Consider the following 18,363-nt stretch of genomic DNA (forward strand, 5'->3'; position numbering starts at 1 on the left):
TTTTTTTTAAAAAAAAAAAAACAAAATTAACACATTAATCTCTTTCTTTCTTTCTCTTTCTTTCTTTCTTTTTCTGTCTTTCTTTCTCTTTCTTTCTTTCTTTTTCTTTCTTTCTGTCTTTGTCTTTCTCCCTCTCTTTCTCTCTCTCTCTCTCTCTCTCTCTCTCTCTCTCCTCCTTTCCCTTCCCCTCCTTTCCCCTCCCTTCCCCTTCCCCTCCTGTCTTGAAAGATACCCACCAGTCACCATGATGCTTTCTCTAAACCTGGTGTACGTTAGATTGAGAGCTGAGGAATCGCTTTTCTCAGATATCTTATTTTTCAAGTCTGAGTAAGAAATTGAAGAAATGGGAATAAACGTTTTGTGTATTTGTTTGTGACATTCTTGAGGCCTGGGTTGAAATTCCAAGGGACAGTTTTTAATGTATTCCTTATAGAAAACCTTTTTTTTCTTTTCTTTTCTTGATTCTTGGAGGTAGGGGGAAAGTTGTTTGAGCAGGAAAGAAGAAAATGGGGTGATGACATTGGTAGTTAAAGCTTACCAACTTTAATAATGAAAACAGAGCCAGTTGGGGTGGTGCACGCCTGTAGTCCCAGCCACTCAAAAAGCTGAGGCAGGAAGATCTCTTGAGCCCAGCGTGGGCAACACAGTGAAACCCCATTAAAAAAATAGAAAAAAAATAATGAAAGCATATTGTGAGGCAGAGTTGTCTGTGACTATTGGGACTTTTTCATCACCAGCAGCCTGCAGCATTTCTCTGGGGAAGATGTGAAGATATAGCCACTCTGTCCTCCTTTGGAGGCACTGGGTACCATATGTGTATATATCCCTGGCTTTGGAAGCAATCTGGGTTTGAATCCTAGCTTTACAACTTGCAGACTGTATGACTTGTCTTGACTCTTTCTATTTCCCTATCTGTAAAATTAGGTAAACAATAGTGTTCATCTTTGAGACGATCCTGTAGGGCACTTAGCATAATACTAAGCAACATGGAGAGGGCTCAGTCAAAGTTAGCTCTCCTGACTGCCTGGGGCATGGAGAGGAGAGTTCTGCCTAGCATTTCTGAGATATGCATACAAATCGATGGAGATAATGTACATTGACAATTTTAATGAGCAAAGAAATAAAAGGTACATGTTAAGGGAAAAGTAAAAAAGGATTTCAAGTCTATTTGCACATCTTCAATTTTCCAGTGACCAGGGAGGGCAAGAAGGCCAAGCCCCTTTGCTTGTACTTCACTCCCCATGACACGGGACAGGTGGCAGCTCTGCAGTGGAAGTGGCAGACCAGACCAAAAAATTCATGTCAAAACCAGGATTTCTGTAGATCAGGGATTTCCGGTTTTTCTGCCTGAACTTACCAAATAGTAAACGTTTATCTCCTTTTCTTTCTTTCTCCCTTCCCTCCCTCCCCCCCTCCTTTCTTTTCTCTTCTCTTCTCTTCTCTTCTCTTTTCTTTCTTTTCTCTGAGACGGACTGTCTCTCTGTTGCCCAGGCTGGAGTGCTGTGGCACAATCTGGTCTCACTGCAAGCTCCACTTCCTATGTTCACGCCATTCTCCTGCCTCAGCCTCCCGAGTAGCTGGGACTACAGGCGCCCGCCACCACGCCTGGCTAATTTTTTGTATTTTTAGTAGAGATGGGGTTTCACCATGTTAGCCAGGATGGTCTCGATCTCCTGCCCTTGTGATCTGCCCACATTGGCCTCCCAAAGTGCTGGGATTACAGGTGTGAGCCATCATGCCCTTCCTTTCCTTTCCTTTTTCCTTTTTCCTTTCCTTTCCTTTTTCCTTTTTCCTTTCCTTTCCTTTCCTTTCCTTTCCTTTCCTTTCCTTTCCTTTCCTTTCCTTTCCTTTCCTTTCCTTCTCTCTCTCTCTCTCTTTCTTTCTCTTTCTTTTCTTTTCTTTTTTTCTTGATCTAGACTTTGCTGGAATATTCTTTTTTGTTTCATTTTGTTTTTTCTTTTTTTGAGACAGAGTTTCACTCTTATTGCCCGGGCTGGAGTGCAATAGTACGATCTCGGCTCACTGCAACCTCTGCCTCCCAGGTTCAAGTGATTCTCCTGCCTCAGCCTCCCGAGTCGCTGGGATTCCAGGTGCATGTCACCACATGTGGCTAATTTTTGTATTTTTAGTAGAGACGGGGTTTTGCCATGTTGGCCAGGCTGGTCTCGAACTCCTCACCTCAGGTGATCTGCCTGCCTTGGCCTCCCAAAGTACTGGGATTACAGGTATGAGCCACCATATCTGGCCTTTGCTGGAATATTCTAAACACACATTAAAAACAGTTTTAATGTGAGATTTTTGGAGAAGAGACAGGAGAGTGTGGTGGCTAAGTAAGTTTGGATCAGACAACATGGCTTTGAATAACAATTAACCTAAAAAAAAAAGGCTCTGGGACCCTGTTTTGCTTGTCTATAAATTGGAGATGACAAAAGTATCTTCCTGATGGGATCAGAAATACATGGGAAAATTACGTAAGGCCTATAGTACAATGGCTCACACAGAGTAAAGACTCAGTAAGTTCTGGTGGTTATTATGAATGGCTTATGGACAAGTGGGTTTTTTTTTTTTTTTTTTTTTTTTTTTTTTTGAGATGAAGTCTTGCTCTGTCACCCAGGCTAGAGAGCGGTGGTGCGATCTTGGCTGACTACAACCTCTGCCTCCTGGGTTCAAATGATTCTCCTGCCTCAGCCTCCCAAGTAGCTAGAATTACAGGCACTTGCCACCATGCCCAGCTAATTTTTGTATTTTTAGTAGAGACAGGGTTTCACCAGGTTGGCCAGGCTGGTCTCGAACTCCTGACCTCATGATCCGCTCGCCTCGGCCTCCCAAAGTGCTGGGATTACAGGCATGAGCCACTGTGCCTGGCCTGAATTTTTTATTGATATGTAATAGTTGTACATATTTTATGTAGGGAAATTATTAATGTTCATTATGTCAATAGGATATAAATGTTGGGTTTATAGAAAAAAACTTTCTTTCATCTTGCCTAAAATGTCCTGAGACTCTTTAGGACATATACTGAATTGCTGATGGTTATTAATAATTTTTAGAGTTTTTATTTTAAGAAAAAAATGAGAACAAGGAACTATTATAGGCTAATTGTATCTACTTTTTTTGTTTTGTTTTTTGGAGACAGGATCTCACTCTGTTGCCCAGGCTGGAGTGCAGTGGCACAGTCATGGCTCACTGCAACCTCTGCTTCCTGCGCTCAAGTGATCCTCCTACCTCAGCCTTCCAAGTGGCTGGGACCACAGCTGCCTGTCACTGCACCTGGCTAATTTTTGTATTTTTTGTAGAGACAAGGTTTTACCATGTTGCCCAGGCTGGTCTCAAACTCCTGGGCTCAAGAGATACTCCCACCTTGGCCTCCCAAAGTTCTGGGATAACAGGCATGAGCCACTGTGCCCAACCTTGTATCCACTTCTTAAATAATTTATTCTGCTATAGTTTTTATGATTTTATCTTTAGATAAAATCCACTTTATTTTTTGAATCTTGAATAGCAAGGGAGCAGTCTGGGATCTGCCCGCCCTGCTAGCATTCTTCCTGGATGAGTTGAGGCTGGAATCTTAAACTCTCTGGGCCTTAGTGCTTTAGTTATAAAATAACAGGGTTGAAGTAGCTCTCTGAGGTCCGTTTCATGACCAAATGCTATATTGCTGTAACTATCAAGGGCTGGCTGTTCTAAATAGATTATGTTTTGGTAGCTTATAGCAGTGGATCTTAACCAGGGACATTTCCAGTTCTTATGAGACATTTATAAAGCTTGTGGACATGTTTTTGGTGGTCATTACGATGGGAGGTTTTATCATCTATAAATTTCATTTCATTTCAGAAATGAAATGAAATTATCACTGCTTTAAAGAGTAGCCAATGATAGTGGTTTTCAAGCCTATACCCTGTGTCCCTTTTTACTGTGTAAAAAAGCCAATGATAGTGGTTTTCAAGTCTGAAAACAAAGCTTTACTTTGGTTAAAAGGGACACAGGCTATAGGCTTGAAAACCACTACTTTAAAGGGTAGTAAATGATAACAGTAACAGCTTTACTATAAAAATATTTTGATGATGGTACTGGGTTGTTAGATTTTGGATTAGAGAATACAGGAAGCAGTGATGCTAAGGGTTTCCTGACCTTGTGTTTCAGTGTGAGACCCTAATGGGCTGGAAAGTTGAAAACAGGACCAGAGGCTGTCATCAATCACAGTTTAGAAAAACACCCTGTTGGGGCCTCTTACTCCTGGATATTTCTAGCTCTCTTGTACCCAGGGCCTCTGTTGACTCTGGGGTCTGCTGGGCTGGCTGACTGGTTTTCTGCTGGCCACATAGCCTCTGTTTACTTCTCCCGGCTGCTTGTGTTCACAGGATGTCCTTGTTGGCCAGCACATTCCTGTACACCTTCTGGACTTGACGTGGGGAGGCATCTGCAGATGGCCTCCCTAAAGAAAGCATGTTTTGCAGCTGGGTGCAGTAGCTCATGCCTGTAATCTCAGCACTTTGGGAGGCTGAGGCAGGTGGATCACCTGAGGTCAGGAGTTTGAGACTAGCCTGGCCAGCATGGTGAAACCCCATCTCTACTAAAAATACATAAATTAGCTTAGGGTGGTGGCAGGTGCCTGTAATCCCAGCTACTCCGGAGGCTGAGGCAGGAGAATCGCTTGAACCCAGGAGGCAGAGGTTTCAGTGAGCTGAGATCGCACCACTGCTCTCCAGCCTGGGTGACAGAGTGAGACTCTGTCTCAAAAAAAACAAAAAAACAAAAAACCCAACAAAACCAAACAACAACAACAACAAAAACCCATGTTTTTTTCAAGCTTACTGCCTTTAAACCATTTGGCAGTACTCTGTGGAGCCTTTGGTGATTGCAACAGCAGCTCAGTTACGTTTTCCCTGAGAGTATGATATCAACAACAATAATATTATTTAAAGTGGTATTTATATTTAAAATGATGGTAAGGATAACAGTAATAATGAATTTTATTAGTACATAATATGTACTGGGCACTGTGTTAATGCTTACAAAAACACTGTGAGGCAGAGTGTCTTAATTTTTATGTGGGAAAGGCTCAAAGAGTTGAGTTACTTGCCAAAGGTCTCACAGCTACTAAGCAATGGAGGCAGGATTTGAATGCATATCGGTCTCACTGGAACACCTATGCCTTGAATCACTCTGTTACCCTCTCTGACCTGTGCGTAATTCTTAAACCGCTGGGTACAGAGAGGTGATGCACTTTGGGTACAGAGAGGTGACGCACTCTGGACATTTCTGATTATGTGTTTATCCTAATGAAAAAGGCCCAATTGCCTTGGCATGCGTCAAACCCAGTGGAAGAGTTATTGTGGGTCCCCAAGGGCCCTGCACGTGATGGCTGTGGGCCCTCACCCTGAGGCTGGAGCAGGCGGCCTTTCCTCCAGTAGACGAAGAACAGCAGCCGAGGCCAGGAGAAAAACATGCCTCTCCTGAGGATTAGCTGCCTGGAGCCTTTCCCACATATATTTTTTCCTCTGGTAGAGGTTCAGAGCTATAATTCCTGTTCATTCCAGTCTGAAAGTTGGCAGTTTGATCAATGATTTCCTGTGCCTTGATGATGAATGGCTTTCGTATTTAAAAGATAAATTTGTATTTTGAGGGTTCAATGCCCTTTGATTTCTTTATAATGGAATTTCATTCAAATTGGCTTCTTAACTGTGACCTGTTCCAGGGGCTCTTGGCCAAAGTAAATTGTGCTAATGAGGAATAACAGAAACTTCAGGAAAATCATGTACTCCTAAATTGAAGTCATGAATGAGGCCTTGGAAATCATCTAGTCCAGCCTTTTCGTTTTACAGATAAGGAAATGGGTCCCAGGGAGAGAAGAAAGAGCGTGTCTAGGATCACGTCGCCACTTCCGGCTCTTTCTACTGAAATGACCTCCACTGAGGGGTGTGAAGATAGTATCAATTATTTGTCTAAGACTTGTCATTTCAAAAACTTGTCGATGTAAATTCTAGTGCATACTAGACTTGTAGGTTGTCAGTAAATATAGACTATTTTTTCTTAGTCTATTGGAATTTTTTCTTAAAACTTTTTTTGGGTGTGCTAGACATGTAGGACAAATTTTCTTTTAAACTAGGTTGCTTTATGGTTTGTGAATGGTCTCTGTTTTACTTATGAAAGTTATACATGTTCACTTTGTAGAACGGGGGGTGACAAACTATGTCCTGTGGGCCAAAAGGGTTCTGTTTTGCAAATCAGGTTTTATTGGCACCCAGCCATGCTCCTTCATTTACTTATTCTCTGTAATGACAGAGTTGAGTAGTTGAGACCTTAGGACCTGCAAAACCTATATATATATGTGTGTGTGTGTGGGTGTATGTGTGTGTATATATATGATTTATTAAATATAATTTTTATTTAATATAATTACACATATTTATTAATGCACATATTTAATTATACTTATAACCATATAGTTATGCTATATATAGATATGTATAATATAGTTATATATAAAATATATAATATATATTCTTTACACATATATATAAATATATTTAATTAAAAATATACATATATAAAATTTATTTTATTTTTAGGTTATAGCTTACTGTAAACTCAAACTCCTGGGCTCAGGCCATCCTCCTACTTTGGCCTCCCAAAGTGCTAGGATTACAGGTGTGAGCCACCATACCCAGCCCAAACCCAAAAACCCTTCATAGAAAAAAATTGTTAAACCCTGCTGTAGAACGTCTGAAAAAATACAGAGAAATCGAACATCTGAAAACATACGGAAAAATCGCACGAAGAAAACAGCTATCCATATCTCACCTTCAGTGAAGTAGGTTGACTGTAATTTTACCATTCTCATGGCCAAATAATTTTGAAAATATCTGATTATTTCCTAAGGCTAAGTTTCTCGAAGTGGAATTCCTAGGCCAGTGAGTGTGAGTGGCTTTTTTTTTTTTTTTTTTTTTTTTATTGATCATTCTTGGGTGTTTCTCACAGAGGGGGATTTGGCAGGGTCATAGGACAATAGTGGAGGGAAGGTCAGCAGATAAACAAGTGAACAAAGGTCTCTGGTTTTCCTAGGCAGAGGACCCTGCGGCCTTCCGCAGCGTTTGGGTCCCTGGGTACTTGAGATTAGGGAGTGGTGATGACTCTTAATGAGCATGCTGCCTTCAAGCATCTGTTTAACAAAGCACATCTTGCACCGCCCTTAATCCATTTAACTCTGAGTGGACACAGCACATGTTTCAGAGAGCACAGGGTTGGGGGTAAGGTCACAGATCAACAGGATCCCAAGGCAGAAGAATTTTTCTTAGTACAGAACAAAATGAAAAGTCTCCCATGTCTACCTCTTTCTACACAGACACGGCAACCATCCGATTTCTCAATCTTTTCCCCACCTTTCCTCCCTTTCTATTCCACAAAGCCACCATTGTCATCCTGGCCCGTTCTCAATGAGCTGTTGGGCACACCTCCCAGATGGGGTGGTGGCCGGGCAGAGGGGCTCCTCACTTCCCAGTAGGGGCGGCCGGGCAGAGGCACCCCTCACCTCCCGGATGGGGCGGCTGGCCGGGCGGGGGGCTGACCCCCCCACCTCCTTCCCGGACGGGGCGGCTGGCCGGGCAGAGGGGCTCCTCACTTCCCAGTAGGGGCGGTCGGGCAGAGGTGCCCCTCACCTCCCGGACGGGGCGGCTGGCCGGGTAGGGGGCTGACCTCCTCCAGGACGGGGCGGCTGGCCGGGCAGGGGGCTGACCCCCCCACCTCCCTCCCGGACGGGGTGGCTGCCGGGCGGAGACGCTCCTCACTTCTCAGACGGGGCGGCTGCCGGGCGGAGGGTCTCCTCACTTCTCAGACGGGGCGGCCGGGCAGAGACGCTCCTCACCTCCCAGACGGGGTGGCGGCCGGGCAGAGGCGCTCCTCACATCCCAGACAGGGCGGCGGGGCAGAGGCGCTCCCCACATCCCAGATGATGGGCGGCCGGGCAGAGACGCTCCTCACTTCCTAGATGTGATGGCGGCCGGGAAGAGGCGCTCCTCACTTCCCAGATGGAATGGCAGCCGGGCAGAGATGCTCCTCACTTTCCAGACTGGGCAGCCAGGCAGAGGGGCTCCTCACATCCCAGACGATGGCCGGCCAGGCAGAGACGCTCCTCACTTCCCAGACGGGGTGGCGGCCGGGCAGAGGCTGCAATCTCGGCACTTTGGGAGGCCAAGGCAGGCAGCTGGGAGGTGGAGGTTGTAGCGAGCCGAGATCACGCCACTGCACTCCAGCCTGGGCGCCATTGAGCACTGAGTGAACCAGACTCCGTCTGCAATCCCGGCACCTCAGGAGGCCGAGGCTGGCGGATCACTCGCGGTTAGGAGCTGGAGACCAGCCTGGCCAACACAGCGAAACCCCGTCTCCACCAAAAAAATACGAAAACCAGTCAGGTGTGGCGGTGCGCGCCTGCAATTGCAGGCACTCCGCAGGCTGAGGCAGGAGAATCAGGCAGGGAGGTTGCAGTGAGCCGAGATGGCAGCAGTATAGTCCAGCTTCGGCTCGGCATGAGAGGGAGACCCTCTCTTTTTTTTTTTAAGACGAAGTCTCGCTCTGTCGCCGTGAGTGGCTTTTTGAACCTTGGTACTTAGCGCAGAATTTCTTTTCAGCTTGTATTTCTGGCAATGCCTGTACCTTGCTAACATTAAACAAACAAACAAACAAGAACTCCTTTTCTAATGGATTTGGTTTTGCTTTCATGGATTCAGGGGTAGGTTCAAGGTGGTGGTCAGTGTCCTGTCTGCGGTTACGACGTGCCTGGCATTTGTCAAGCCTGCCATCAACAACATCTCTCTGATGACCCTGGGAGTTCCTTGCACTGCACTGCTCATCGCAGAGCTAAAGAGGTAGGTGCCATCATTCCTGCCTACCCTTAGCTGTCCCCGTGCTGGGAACACACCAGTTCGGGGCTTCTTTGCTGTCCTGTAGCAGAAGAGGAGTTTTATTCCTTGTGAAGAGTTAGTTGCTGACTGTTGGATGGAAGCAATTTGATGGTTTGGTTCAAAATACTGGTAATCTCATTTTCAGTAGGAGGGGAGCAGCTGTTGAGCAGATGCAGTGCATCCCACTGATCACAAGCTAGCTTACCAGGACCATCTCAGTACCTAGATCAAGCTGTCTAGACTTAATTCTGTAGAAAAGAAAAGTCCTAGAAAGGTTATCGCATTCACACACAGAAGGAAAAAGAGGAAGGGGGCAGGGAAAGTGAGTTTGTATCTATAAGGAAATATGCACTTCAGGTGGACTGCAGTTGACTATGATACTTTCTCTGAGGCTTAATGTCTCATTTACAATCTATTAGGTAAAGGTTTTGCTCTTTGCATTAGCATTTTCTTTTGGGAACTTGTGTACTCAAATGCAAAAATCAGCTGGGCATGGTGGTGGGCACCTGTAATCCCAGCTACTCAGGAGGCTGAGGCAGGAGAATCGCCTGAACCTAGGAGGCAGAAGTTGCAGTGAGCTGAGATCACACTGCTGTACTCCAGCCTGGGTGACAGAGTGAGACTTGTCTCAAAAAAAGGAAAAAAAAAGCCGGGCGCAGTGGCTCATGCCTGTAATCCCAGTACTTTGGGAGGCCGAGGAGGGCGGATCACGAGGTCAGGAGATGGAGACCATCCTGGCTAACACAGTGAAACCCCGTCTCTACTAAAAATACAAAAAATTAGCTGGGCATGGTGGCGGGCGCCTGTAGTCCCAGCTACTTGGGAGGCTGAGGCAGGAGAATGGTGTGAACCCGGGAGGCGGAGCTTGCAGTGAGCCGCGATTGTGCCACTGCATTCCAGCCTGGGTGACAGAGCGAGACTCTATCTCAAAAAACAGAAAAAGAAGAAAGAAGAAAGCCCTTCTTTTTTTTTTTTTTCTTAATAGAGACAAAGTCCCACTGTGCTCAGGGGTTCTCAAACTCCTGGCCTCAAGCAGTCCTCTTGCCTCAGCGTCCCAAAGTATTGGGATTGCAGGTGTGAGCCACTGCAGCCAGCCTGCCCTTCCTTCTTGAATCCCTTGCAGTCTGGCTCCCCTCCCCATCTTTAGTCTGAAATGTTCATTCAAGAGTCACTAATGACGTTTTTTAAAAAACTAATTTTATCAAGTAGCTCATATTTTTTTGTAGATAAATTGGAGAATATAGACAAGCAAAAAAGAAATCTGTCACTTATTCAGGAAAATTAATATTTGATAGTACTTGGCTCATAGTTTTTATGTACTAAATAAAAATAAAATAACCAAACCTGCCATTTGATAATGACTGTTAGCTTTTTGGTGTATCTTGTATCTTCTTACAGCCTTTTTTATTCTTTGCCATCTTTAAAAAAAAATCTAGCTGTATTTTTTTTAAATAAAAATTAGCTCATTCTCGTATGAGTTAATCTGAAATTTGACTTTCTCACTTAGGAATGTATTGTAGTCCTCCTTCTCTGTAAATCAATACAGATCTAGGTCCTCGTTTTAAATGGCCATGTAGGATTGTAATTTACTTTTAATTTATTTTAATTAGTCAACACATTTCCTGTTTTTGACCATTTAGGTTGTTTCCAGTTTTTCATTATTAGAAATATCTCTGTGATGAACATCTTTGTGTATCTTTGTGCACTTATTACATTATTTCCTTAGGCTGTGCTAATGGCCTTCTACTTCCAAATAGAATAGCTTGTTTTCAGTGCTCCCTATCCTTGGCTGTCTGAAGAATCTGACACTGTCAGCCTCCTCCCTCTCTGAATTTTCTTCTTTTGGCTTCTCTGATCCTGTGTAATACAGGCTTTCATACCTGACTGTTCCTACTCTGCTCCTTTGCTTCCTAAGGTAGGCATTCTCCAAGATTGTGTATTCAACCTTTTCTGTTCTTGAAAATCTCATTCACCCTCTTGTGTTCAGCTGTCATCACTCTGCATGGTTTTCTGCAGTCCATCCTCGTCTCTTTCCTGAAGTCCAGTTTCATATTCCCAGCTATCTGCTGGGTATCCCAGTCAGAGCCTTCCTAAACTGTAATAGGCAAGATTACTGTCTTGGCTGCATGCCCTGTTTGCCTACGATTTCCCTCAGTGCCTTTCCCAAATTCTGTCTTAGAGTCCCCAAATGATTTTAATGGTGTCACTATTTTCTGACTCCATTACACTTGAAATCCTACAATCATTGGGTCCCTCATCTCCTGCCACCTCAGGTGATTGCTGGATTTCATGGAATCGCCCTCTGCAATGTTTCATCTGTCACCTCCTCCCATATCCATTGCTCCACCCTCACACCCCTCCAGAGGACCATTGCATTTGCTTTCTAACCAGTCTCTTCTTCCTCCAATCTCTTCTTTCAGACTGTTACTCCCTTATCCTTTACAAAAACCTTCAGTGGCGCCTCGTTGTCTAAGCTTCCCTTAGAGCTTTTTCTTCCTCTGTTTCCTTCTGCATGTCCTATGACCAACCAATTTGGACCACCTCCTTGTTTTCTGGTCTTCAGATCTTTGCTCATACTTTCTTCTCCCCCTGAAATGCCCTTTCCTACTACTACTTTCCAAAATCCTACCCCTTCTGCAATGTGCATCCTAGACACCTGCTCCTTCACGAGGCCTTTCTTAACCCCTTCTTATCCCCTCAACCAGATGTAATTGCCCTCTTCCTAAACTCTTTGTGCTTTTACATTGTACTTAGCGCATTCTCTCTTAAATATAGATACTTATCTCCTTTTCTTCTCATCTTCCTCTCTGATGTTGTGTTCTCAAAGGCAGTAATTTTATTTTGTGGAACTCTGAATTTTCCATGGTGCCCATTACCTCTGAAAAGTCAAAGGTCTGTATCTTGCTAATGACTGGGCAAGATACAGAGTTATGAAATTTCTTGAGACTCCCTCAGTTTAGTGGAGCATGGGTTATGGGGCTAGAAAGTCCTGAGTTTGGGTCTCAGTTCAGGCTTTTACTAGCCTGGAAACTTTGGGCATTTACTTCACTTACTTAGGTCTTACTGTCCTTATTTGAAATTGAATAATAATACTTAGATCTCATAGTCTTGCAGTAAGGATTAAATAAGATATTTAGTCTAGTATCTGTCACATGGTAGATCTCAGCAAATACTTGTTGCCTTTCCTTTTCCTTGCCACTATGTTTCAGCAAGTATAGCTAAATCATCTGCTTCTTCCTATTGTATCTGTTTTTTAGGGATCTTACCTTTATTATCCAGGAACTCTCCCTAATGTGCCTTGGGTGAAGATGTTAGTTGAAGTGACTTCTCTGCCGTGTTTGTGGACCTGGAGGGACTGGCTCCTGGGCCTTTGGCTCCATTTGCATCCTCCTCTAGCCAACTCTGGATGTTAACACATCTTAAAGCTCTTTGGCAAACACATAATTAAATTGCTGGTGACAACATCTGAAATGATTTCCATTTGTAGCATGCAGTCCAGTGATGCTAGCTTATATTAGGCTTGAAGTGAATAGAATGTTCTGGATTTAGCTCTGTTTCTTGAGAATTCACTGCAGTCTAGTTTCATTGTAACTCTTGAGTGTAATAATATGTTTTAGCTTATAATTTTGTTATAAGAAAAGGGAAAGGGAAAGGTTTTTTGTTTGTTTGTTTGTTTTGTTTTTGAGATGGGATCTTGCTCTGTTGCCCAGGCTGGAGTGCAGTAGCATGATCATAGCTCATTGCATCTTCGAACTCCTGCACTTAGGTAATCTTCCCACCTCAGCCTCCCAAAGTGCTGAGATTACAGGTGTGAGCCACTGCACCCAGCTGAGAAAATATTTTAAGTTCATAAGACCTAAAGAAGAGCAAATGGAGGACACAAGTGGTTAGGGCAGATTATTATGCAGTTTAAATAAATTCTACTTCACAATTGTGATCTTTACATAAGGAAATATATTTTCCTTTAATATTCTAATCTTTGTAAATAATTACATAAGAAATAATTTGTTTCATGCTTAAAATGTTCTGCCCTGGAAAAGCTAGCCATCACTAAAGCTAATTGGTCTTCATCATCACATTAACAAGTGGTAGTTTCATGGCAGGTAAACTTTCTTCCATTAGGGTTGGTCTTCTACGAATTGATTATTCCCTCCACTCTCCTATGTCCATTTCACTCCTGTACATTGTCCTCTATATTGCTGCTCCCTCTCTAAAGGGGCTTGCTTTTTTTTTTTTTGGAGACGTAGTCTCGCTCTGTCACCCAGGCTGGAGTGCAGTGGCAAGATCTCGGCTCACTGTAACCTTCACCTCCAGGTTCAAGCAATTCTCCTGCTTCAGCCTCCCCAGTAGAGTAGTTGGGATTACAGGTGTGTGCCACCATGCCTGGCTAATTTTTGTAGTTTTAGTAGAGACCCAGCCTAAAGGGGCTTTCTTATCAGCCTGTAAACACATCTGAGTCTCTACTGCCTTCTCAAACACCCAGCCTGGACTAATCCACATCCACATCTCTAGCTACTACCCTTTCACCCTTGCTGTCATAGCCAAACTTCTTTAAAAGCTCCATCGGCTGGGCTTGGTGGCTCATGCCTGTAATCCCATCACTTTGGGAGGCCGAGGAGGGTGGATCACGAGGTCAGGAGTTCAAGACTAGCCTGGCCAACAGGATGAAACCTCATCTCTACTAAAAACACAAAAAATTAGCTGAGTGTGGTGGCAGATGCTTGTAATCCCAGCTATTCGGGAGGCTGAGGCAGGAGAATCACTTGAATCCAGGAGGCGGAGGTTGTGGTGCGTGGAGATGTGGAGATCACGCCATTGCACTACAGCCTGGGCAACAGAGCAAGACTCCATCCCCCCGCCCCCAAAGAAAGCTCCCTTTATCCCTTACCTCTCATTTACTCTTCAACTCTTGCCAATCTGGTTTCTGCCCCTACTTTGTTACCCAAATCCCTCTCTATAGGCTATACACCCAGTGATCAGTTTTCAGACCCCCCTGTATCTTATGTATTATTCTCTCGGCTGCTCGCCCAATTAGTTCTCCTCACCATGCTTGAAATGTTCTTTGCCATGGCTCCTGTGATAACACATCCTCCTGGCTTTCCCACTACCTCTCGGCAGCTCCTTTTCAGTCTCTTGCGTAGACTCCTACTTTTCTACACAGCTTTGCATGTAGGAATCCCTTAAGGTGCACCCTCAACTCCCTGCTTGCTATGGTCTGAATGTTTGTATCTCCCCTGAATTCATATGTTGAAATACTAATTAATAAGGTGATGATATTAGGAGGTGGGCCCTTTTGGAAGGTGTTTAAGTCAGTGGGGGTAGAGCCCTCCTACATGGGATTAGTGCTTTTCTAAAAGAGGTCCCAGAGAGCTGCCTTGGCCCTTCTACCATGTGAGGACACAGCTCTAGTAGGTGTCATCTGTGAGGAATGGCCCTCACTAGACACTGATTCTGCTGGCACCTTGATCTCAGACTTCCCAGCCTCTAGAACTATGAGAAACAAATTTCTGTTTTTATCAGCCACCCAGTATACAATGTTTTGTTATAACAGCCTGCATGGATTAAGACACTGTTTTTCTCCCTTTTTACGTCCCCCTGAAAGATCTCCTCTACTTCTGTGGCTTTAATTCCTCTACATATGTGGATGACTCCTAAACTTACGTCTCCAACCCAGTCCTTCCTCTTAACTCTACTATTATGTGTCTAGCTGCCTGCCTAACCTGTCTAATTCCATGTATCACAGGCATCTCAAATTCAACTTGACCAAACCCAGATTCCTGATCTGCCTTTTCTAGCTCTGATTCTCTTCATCATATTTCAAGTTGCAGAAAAGGGGAGCACCATTTACCCAGTTACTGAAGCCTGAAACCTGGCATCCTCTTCCTTCCCCAAACATGCCATTTCAGCACATTTTTCTTTTTCTTTTTCTTTTTTTTTTTTTTTTTGAGACAGAGTCCTACTGTGTCACCCAGGCTGGAGTGCAGTGGCATGATCTCACAGCTCACTGCAACCTCCGCCTCCCGGGTTCAAGCGATTTTTCTGCCTCAGCCTCCCAAGTAGCTGGGACCACAGGCATGTGCCACCATGCCTGGCTACTTTTTCGTATTTTTAGTAGAGATGGGGTTTCACCATGTTAGCCAGGATGGTCTCAATCTGCTGACCTCATGATCTGCCCTCCTTGGCCTCCCAAATTGCTGAGATTACAGGCATGAGCCACATGCCCAGCCCTGAGCACAGTCATTTTTCTACCAGTCGATGTTGCAATGAAGATAAAGTTCCAAATCCTTGACATGCTCCAGCCTTCCCCTGTGAGCTGATCACTCCCACAAGAAGCTCCTCTGCCTTCCATCCTCAGCCACTCTGACCTTCTGTTTCTTCTGGGGACCCTGCACCTGCCAGCCCCAGCCCCTTCCTTATTTATGCCATCCCTTTTTCTGGCCCTCTTGCTTGGCTAACTTATACTCATCCTTCAGTTTGGGCTGAGCTATTTATATGCTGTTCCAGGACCCTGAACTTCTCCTTTATGGCACCCATCCTGATTGTAATTATATTATTTATATTGTTTTGTTTGTTGTCTGTCCCCTCTGCTGAACATCGACTTCACATAGGCAGGGACGGGGTCTCTTTTTTCACTGCTTTGTCACTTACCACACCAGTTCCCAGCCAGGAAAAGAAAAGACGGTTGTTTCCCTGCTTTGATAAAATACCCAGACAAAAGGATGCCCTTATTGCTCTTAGACCTCTTTCCCGAATCTTCCCTGGTTGTCACCTGCAATGATGTTATGTCTGAGTTGAATGTTTCTCACTGCACGCTAGTTTGCTCAGAGGTAATAGAGGAGGAACTGTTTTCTCACTTTCTCTTTCTCTTTAGCCTTTATTCCTAAAGCTTGTTTCTAGTCATTTCTTTTAACCAGCTTCCTGAGAAGTATTTCCATTGTCTTTTCTGAACTCTCCCTTAGACCATGAGAAAACAAAAGTTTATGCTGATTTTGGGTCATGACCTGACACTGAAATTGGTGGTGTTAAGTACATTGCCGAGTAACTCAGATACATTGATATTTAAAAAAATACTTTTTCTGATTATAGGAGTGATTTTATTGTTAAGAAAAAATTGAGAATATAATCAAGGGTCTAGAAGAGAAGAAATGGGAGAGATTCAGACTTTTCTCTTGTAGAATAAGGTCCTGCTGTACATGTGATTTTTGTCCGCCCTTTTTCACTTCACATTGATATTTTGATAAAAGCCCTGAGAAATGGGAGTGAAACCTAATGGACCGCAGCTTTGGACAAGCCCCGAGTGCAAATAAGGCTGGTCAGCAGCTTCTAGCAGGATCTGCTTCTTCTAGAAGCAGAGAAAGGTAACAGGCTGCCCTGAGACCAGGCTCTACAGAGCCTCCCTCCTGCCTCGTACATGCCAAGCCGGCCCTGTCCTGGCACTTACAGTGACTAACGGCCGGGCACCTCCCTCTCGGTTGATGCCCTCCATGCAGGACATCTCCAACACATTGCTCTCCGTTCTGGTGTGTTCCTTAAGCCAAACTTTCTAGGTTTAATTTCACTGGATGTTCATAGATCCTCGTGTCCCAGACTAATTGTCTATGTATTTGTTGATATTTGTTCTTGCCTATTTTCATTTTATTTTTTAAATTCAAGGCAAGAGGCCTATTTATTTTGTATTTTATAGTGCCTAGCATGGAATTTGGTGCCCAATAAATACTTTTTTTTTTTTTGAGATGGGGTCTCGCTCTGTCGCCCAGGCTGGAGTGCGGTGGCACTATCTCGGCTCACTGCAACCTCCGCCTCCTGGGTTCAAGCGATTCTCTTACCTCAGCCTCCCGAGTAGCTGGGACTACAGATGCATGCCATCATGCCCGGCTAATTTATTGTATTTTTATTTTTTAATTTTTAATTTTATTTATTTATTTTTTGAGACGGAGTCTTGCTCAGTCGCCCAGGCTGGAGTGCAGTGGCGCGATCTCGGCTCACTGCAAGCTCCGCCTCCCGGGTTCGCGCCATTCTCCTGCTTCAGTCTCCGGAGTAGCTGGGACTTCAGGTGCCTGCCACCATGCCCAGCTAATTTTTTTTGTATTTTTAGTAGAGACAGGGTTTCACCACGTTAGCCAGGATGGTCTTGATCTCCTGAACTCGTGATCCACCTGCTTCAGCCTCCCAAAGTGCTGGGATTACAGGTGTGAGCCACCACGCCCGGCACATTTATTGTGTTTTTAGTAGATACGGGGTTTCACCCTGTCAGCCAGGATGGTCTTGATCTCCTGACCTCGTGATCCCCCGGCCTTGGCCTCCAAGAGTGTTGGGATTACAGGCATGAGCCACCGTGCCTGGCCAATAATCTTAAATAATCTAAAAATAATGTTCTGCCCAAATTACAAATTACCAAATTAGGGTCCATTTATGCATAATTTTATCCATTAATTCAGGAAGCATTTAACAGTGCCTGGCACAGTTGCCAGGCATGGAGTATACATTAGTGAATAAAACAGGGGTAGTTCCTCTGGGATTCTAGGCTAGTTTGTTTGTTTGTTTGTTTGTTTATTGAGATGGAGTCTTGCTCTTGAAGCTCAGGCTGGAGCAGTGGTGCGATCTCAGCTCTCTGCAACCTCCACAATCTGGGTTCAAGTGATTCTCCTGCCTCAGCCTCCCAAGTAGCTGGGATTACAGGCATGTGCCACCACCCCCGGCTAATTTTTGTATTTTTGGTAGAGACGGGATATCACCACATTGGCCAGGCTGATCTCCAACTCCTGATCTCAAGTGATCCTCCCACCTTGGCCTCCCAAAGTGCTGGGATTACAGGGGTGAGCTCCCGGCCTCTAGGCTAGTTTAATACCAGATGTTACACAGATAATAAATTCATAGTTTCAACTTGTGATGAGAGTTATGAAGGAACATGGCAGGGTGCCCTGAGAGAATGCGCTAAGGCAGGGGTGTCCGCTCTTTTGGTTTCCCTGGGCCATATTGGAAGAAAAATTGTCTTAGGCCACACAAAAAATACACTAATGATAGCTGATGAGCTAAAAAAAAAAAAAAGAAAAGAAAAAAAAAAAGAAAGTCGCAAAAAAAAAAAATCTCATAATGGTTTTTTTTTTTTGAGACGGAGTCTTGCTCTGTCCCCTGGGCTGGAGTGCAGTGGCGCGATCTCGGCTCACTGCAAGCTCCGCCTCCCGGGTTCACGCCATTCTCCTGCCTCAGCCTCCCGAGTAGCTGGGACTACAGGCGCCCGCCACCACGCCCGACTAATTTTTTTGTATTTTTAGTAGAGACGAGGTTTCACCGGATTAGCCAGGATGGTCTCGATCTCCTGACCTCTGGTCCGCCCGCCTCGGCCTCCCAAAGTGCTGGAATTACAGGCTTGAGCCACCGCGCCCGGCATAAAATCTCATAATGTTTTAAGAAAGTTTACAAATTTGTGTTGGGCCTCATTCGAAACCATCCTGGTCGGCAT

At 44.5% G+C, this 18,363-nt stretch overlaps 1 protein-coding gene across 8 annotated transcripts in view; it reads left to right on the plus strand.

Moving 5' to 3' along the window:
* The window catches only part of ACER2 (alkaline ceramidase 2), a 43,497-nt gene that overhangs the window by 17,212 nt on the left and 7,922 nt on the right, over positions 1-18,363 (plus strand). For all 8 annotated transcript variants that reach the window (XR_002956780.2, XR_002956781.2, NM_001010887.3 and 5 more), the window contains exon 4: positions 8,727-8,864. Coding sequence is in view for 6 of the 8 variants with exons in the window: in NM_001010887.3 (NP_001010887.2) it covers positions 8,727-8,864 (138 nt within the window). In the remaining 2 variants the exon portion in view is untranslated. The remainder of the gene's footprint in view (positions 1-8,726; positions 8,865-18,363) is intronic.

Source organism: Homo sapiens, chromosome 9 (assembly GCF_000001405.40).
Source record: "Homo sapiens chromosome 9, GRCh38.p14 Primary Assembly".
Classification (NCBI taxonomy): domain Eukaryota; kingdom Metazoa; phylum Chordata; class Mammalia; order Primates; family Hominidae; genus Homo; species Homo sapiens.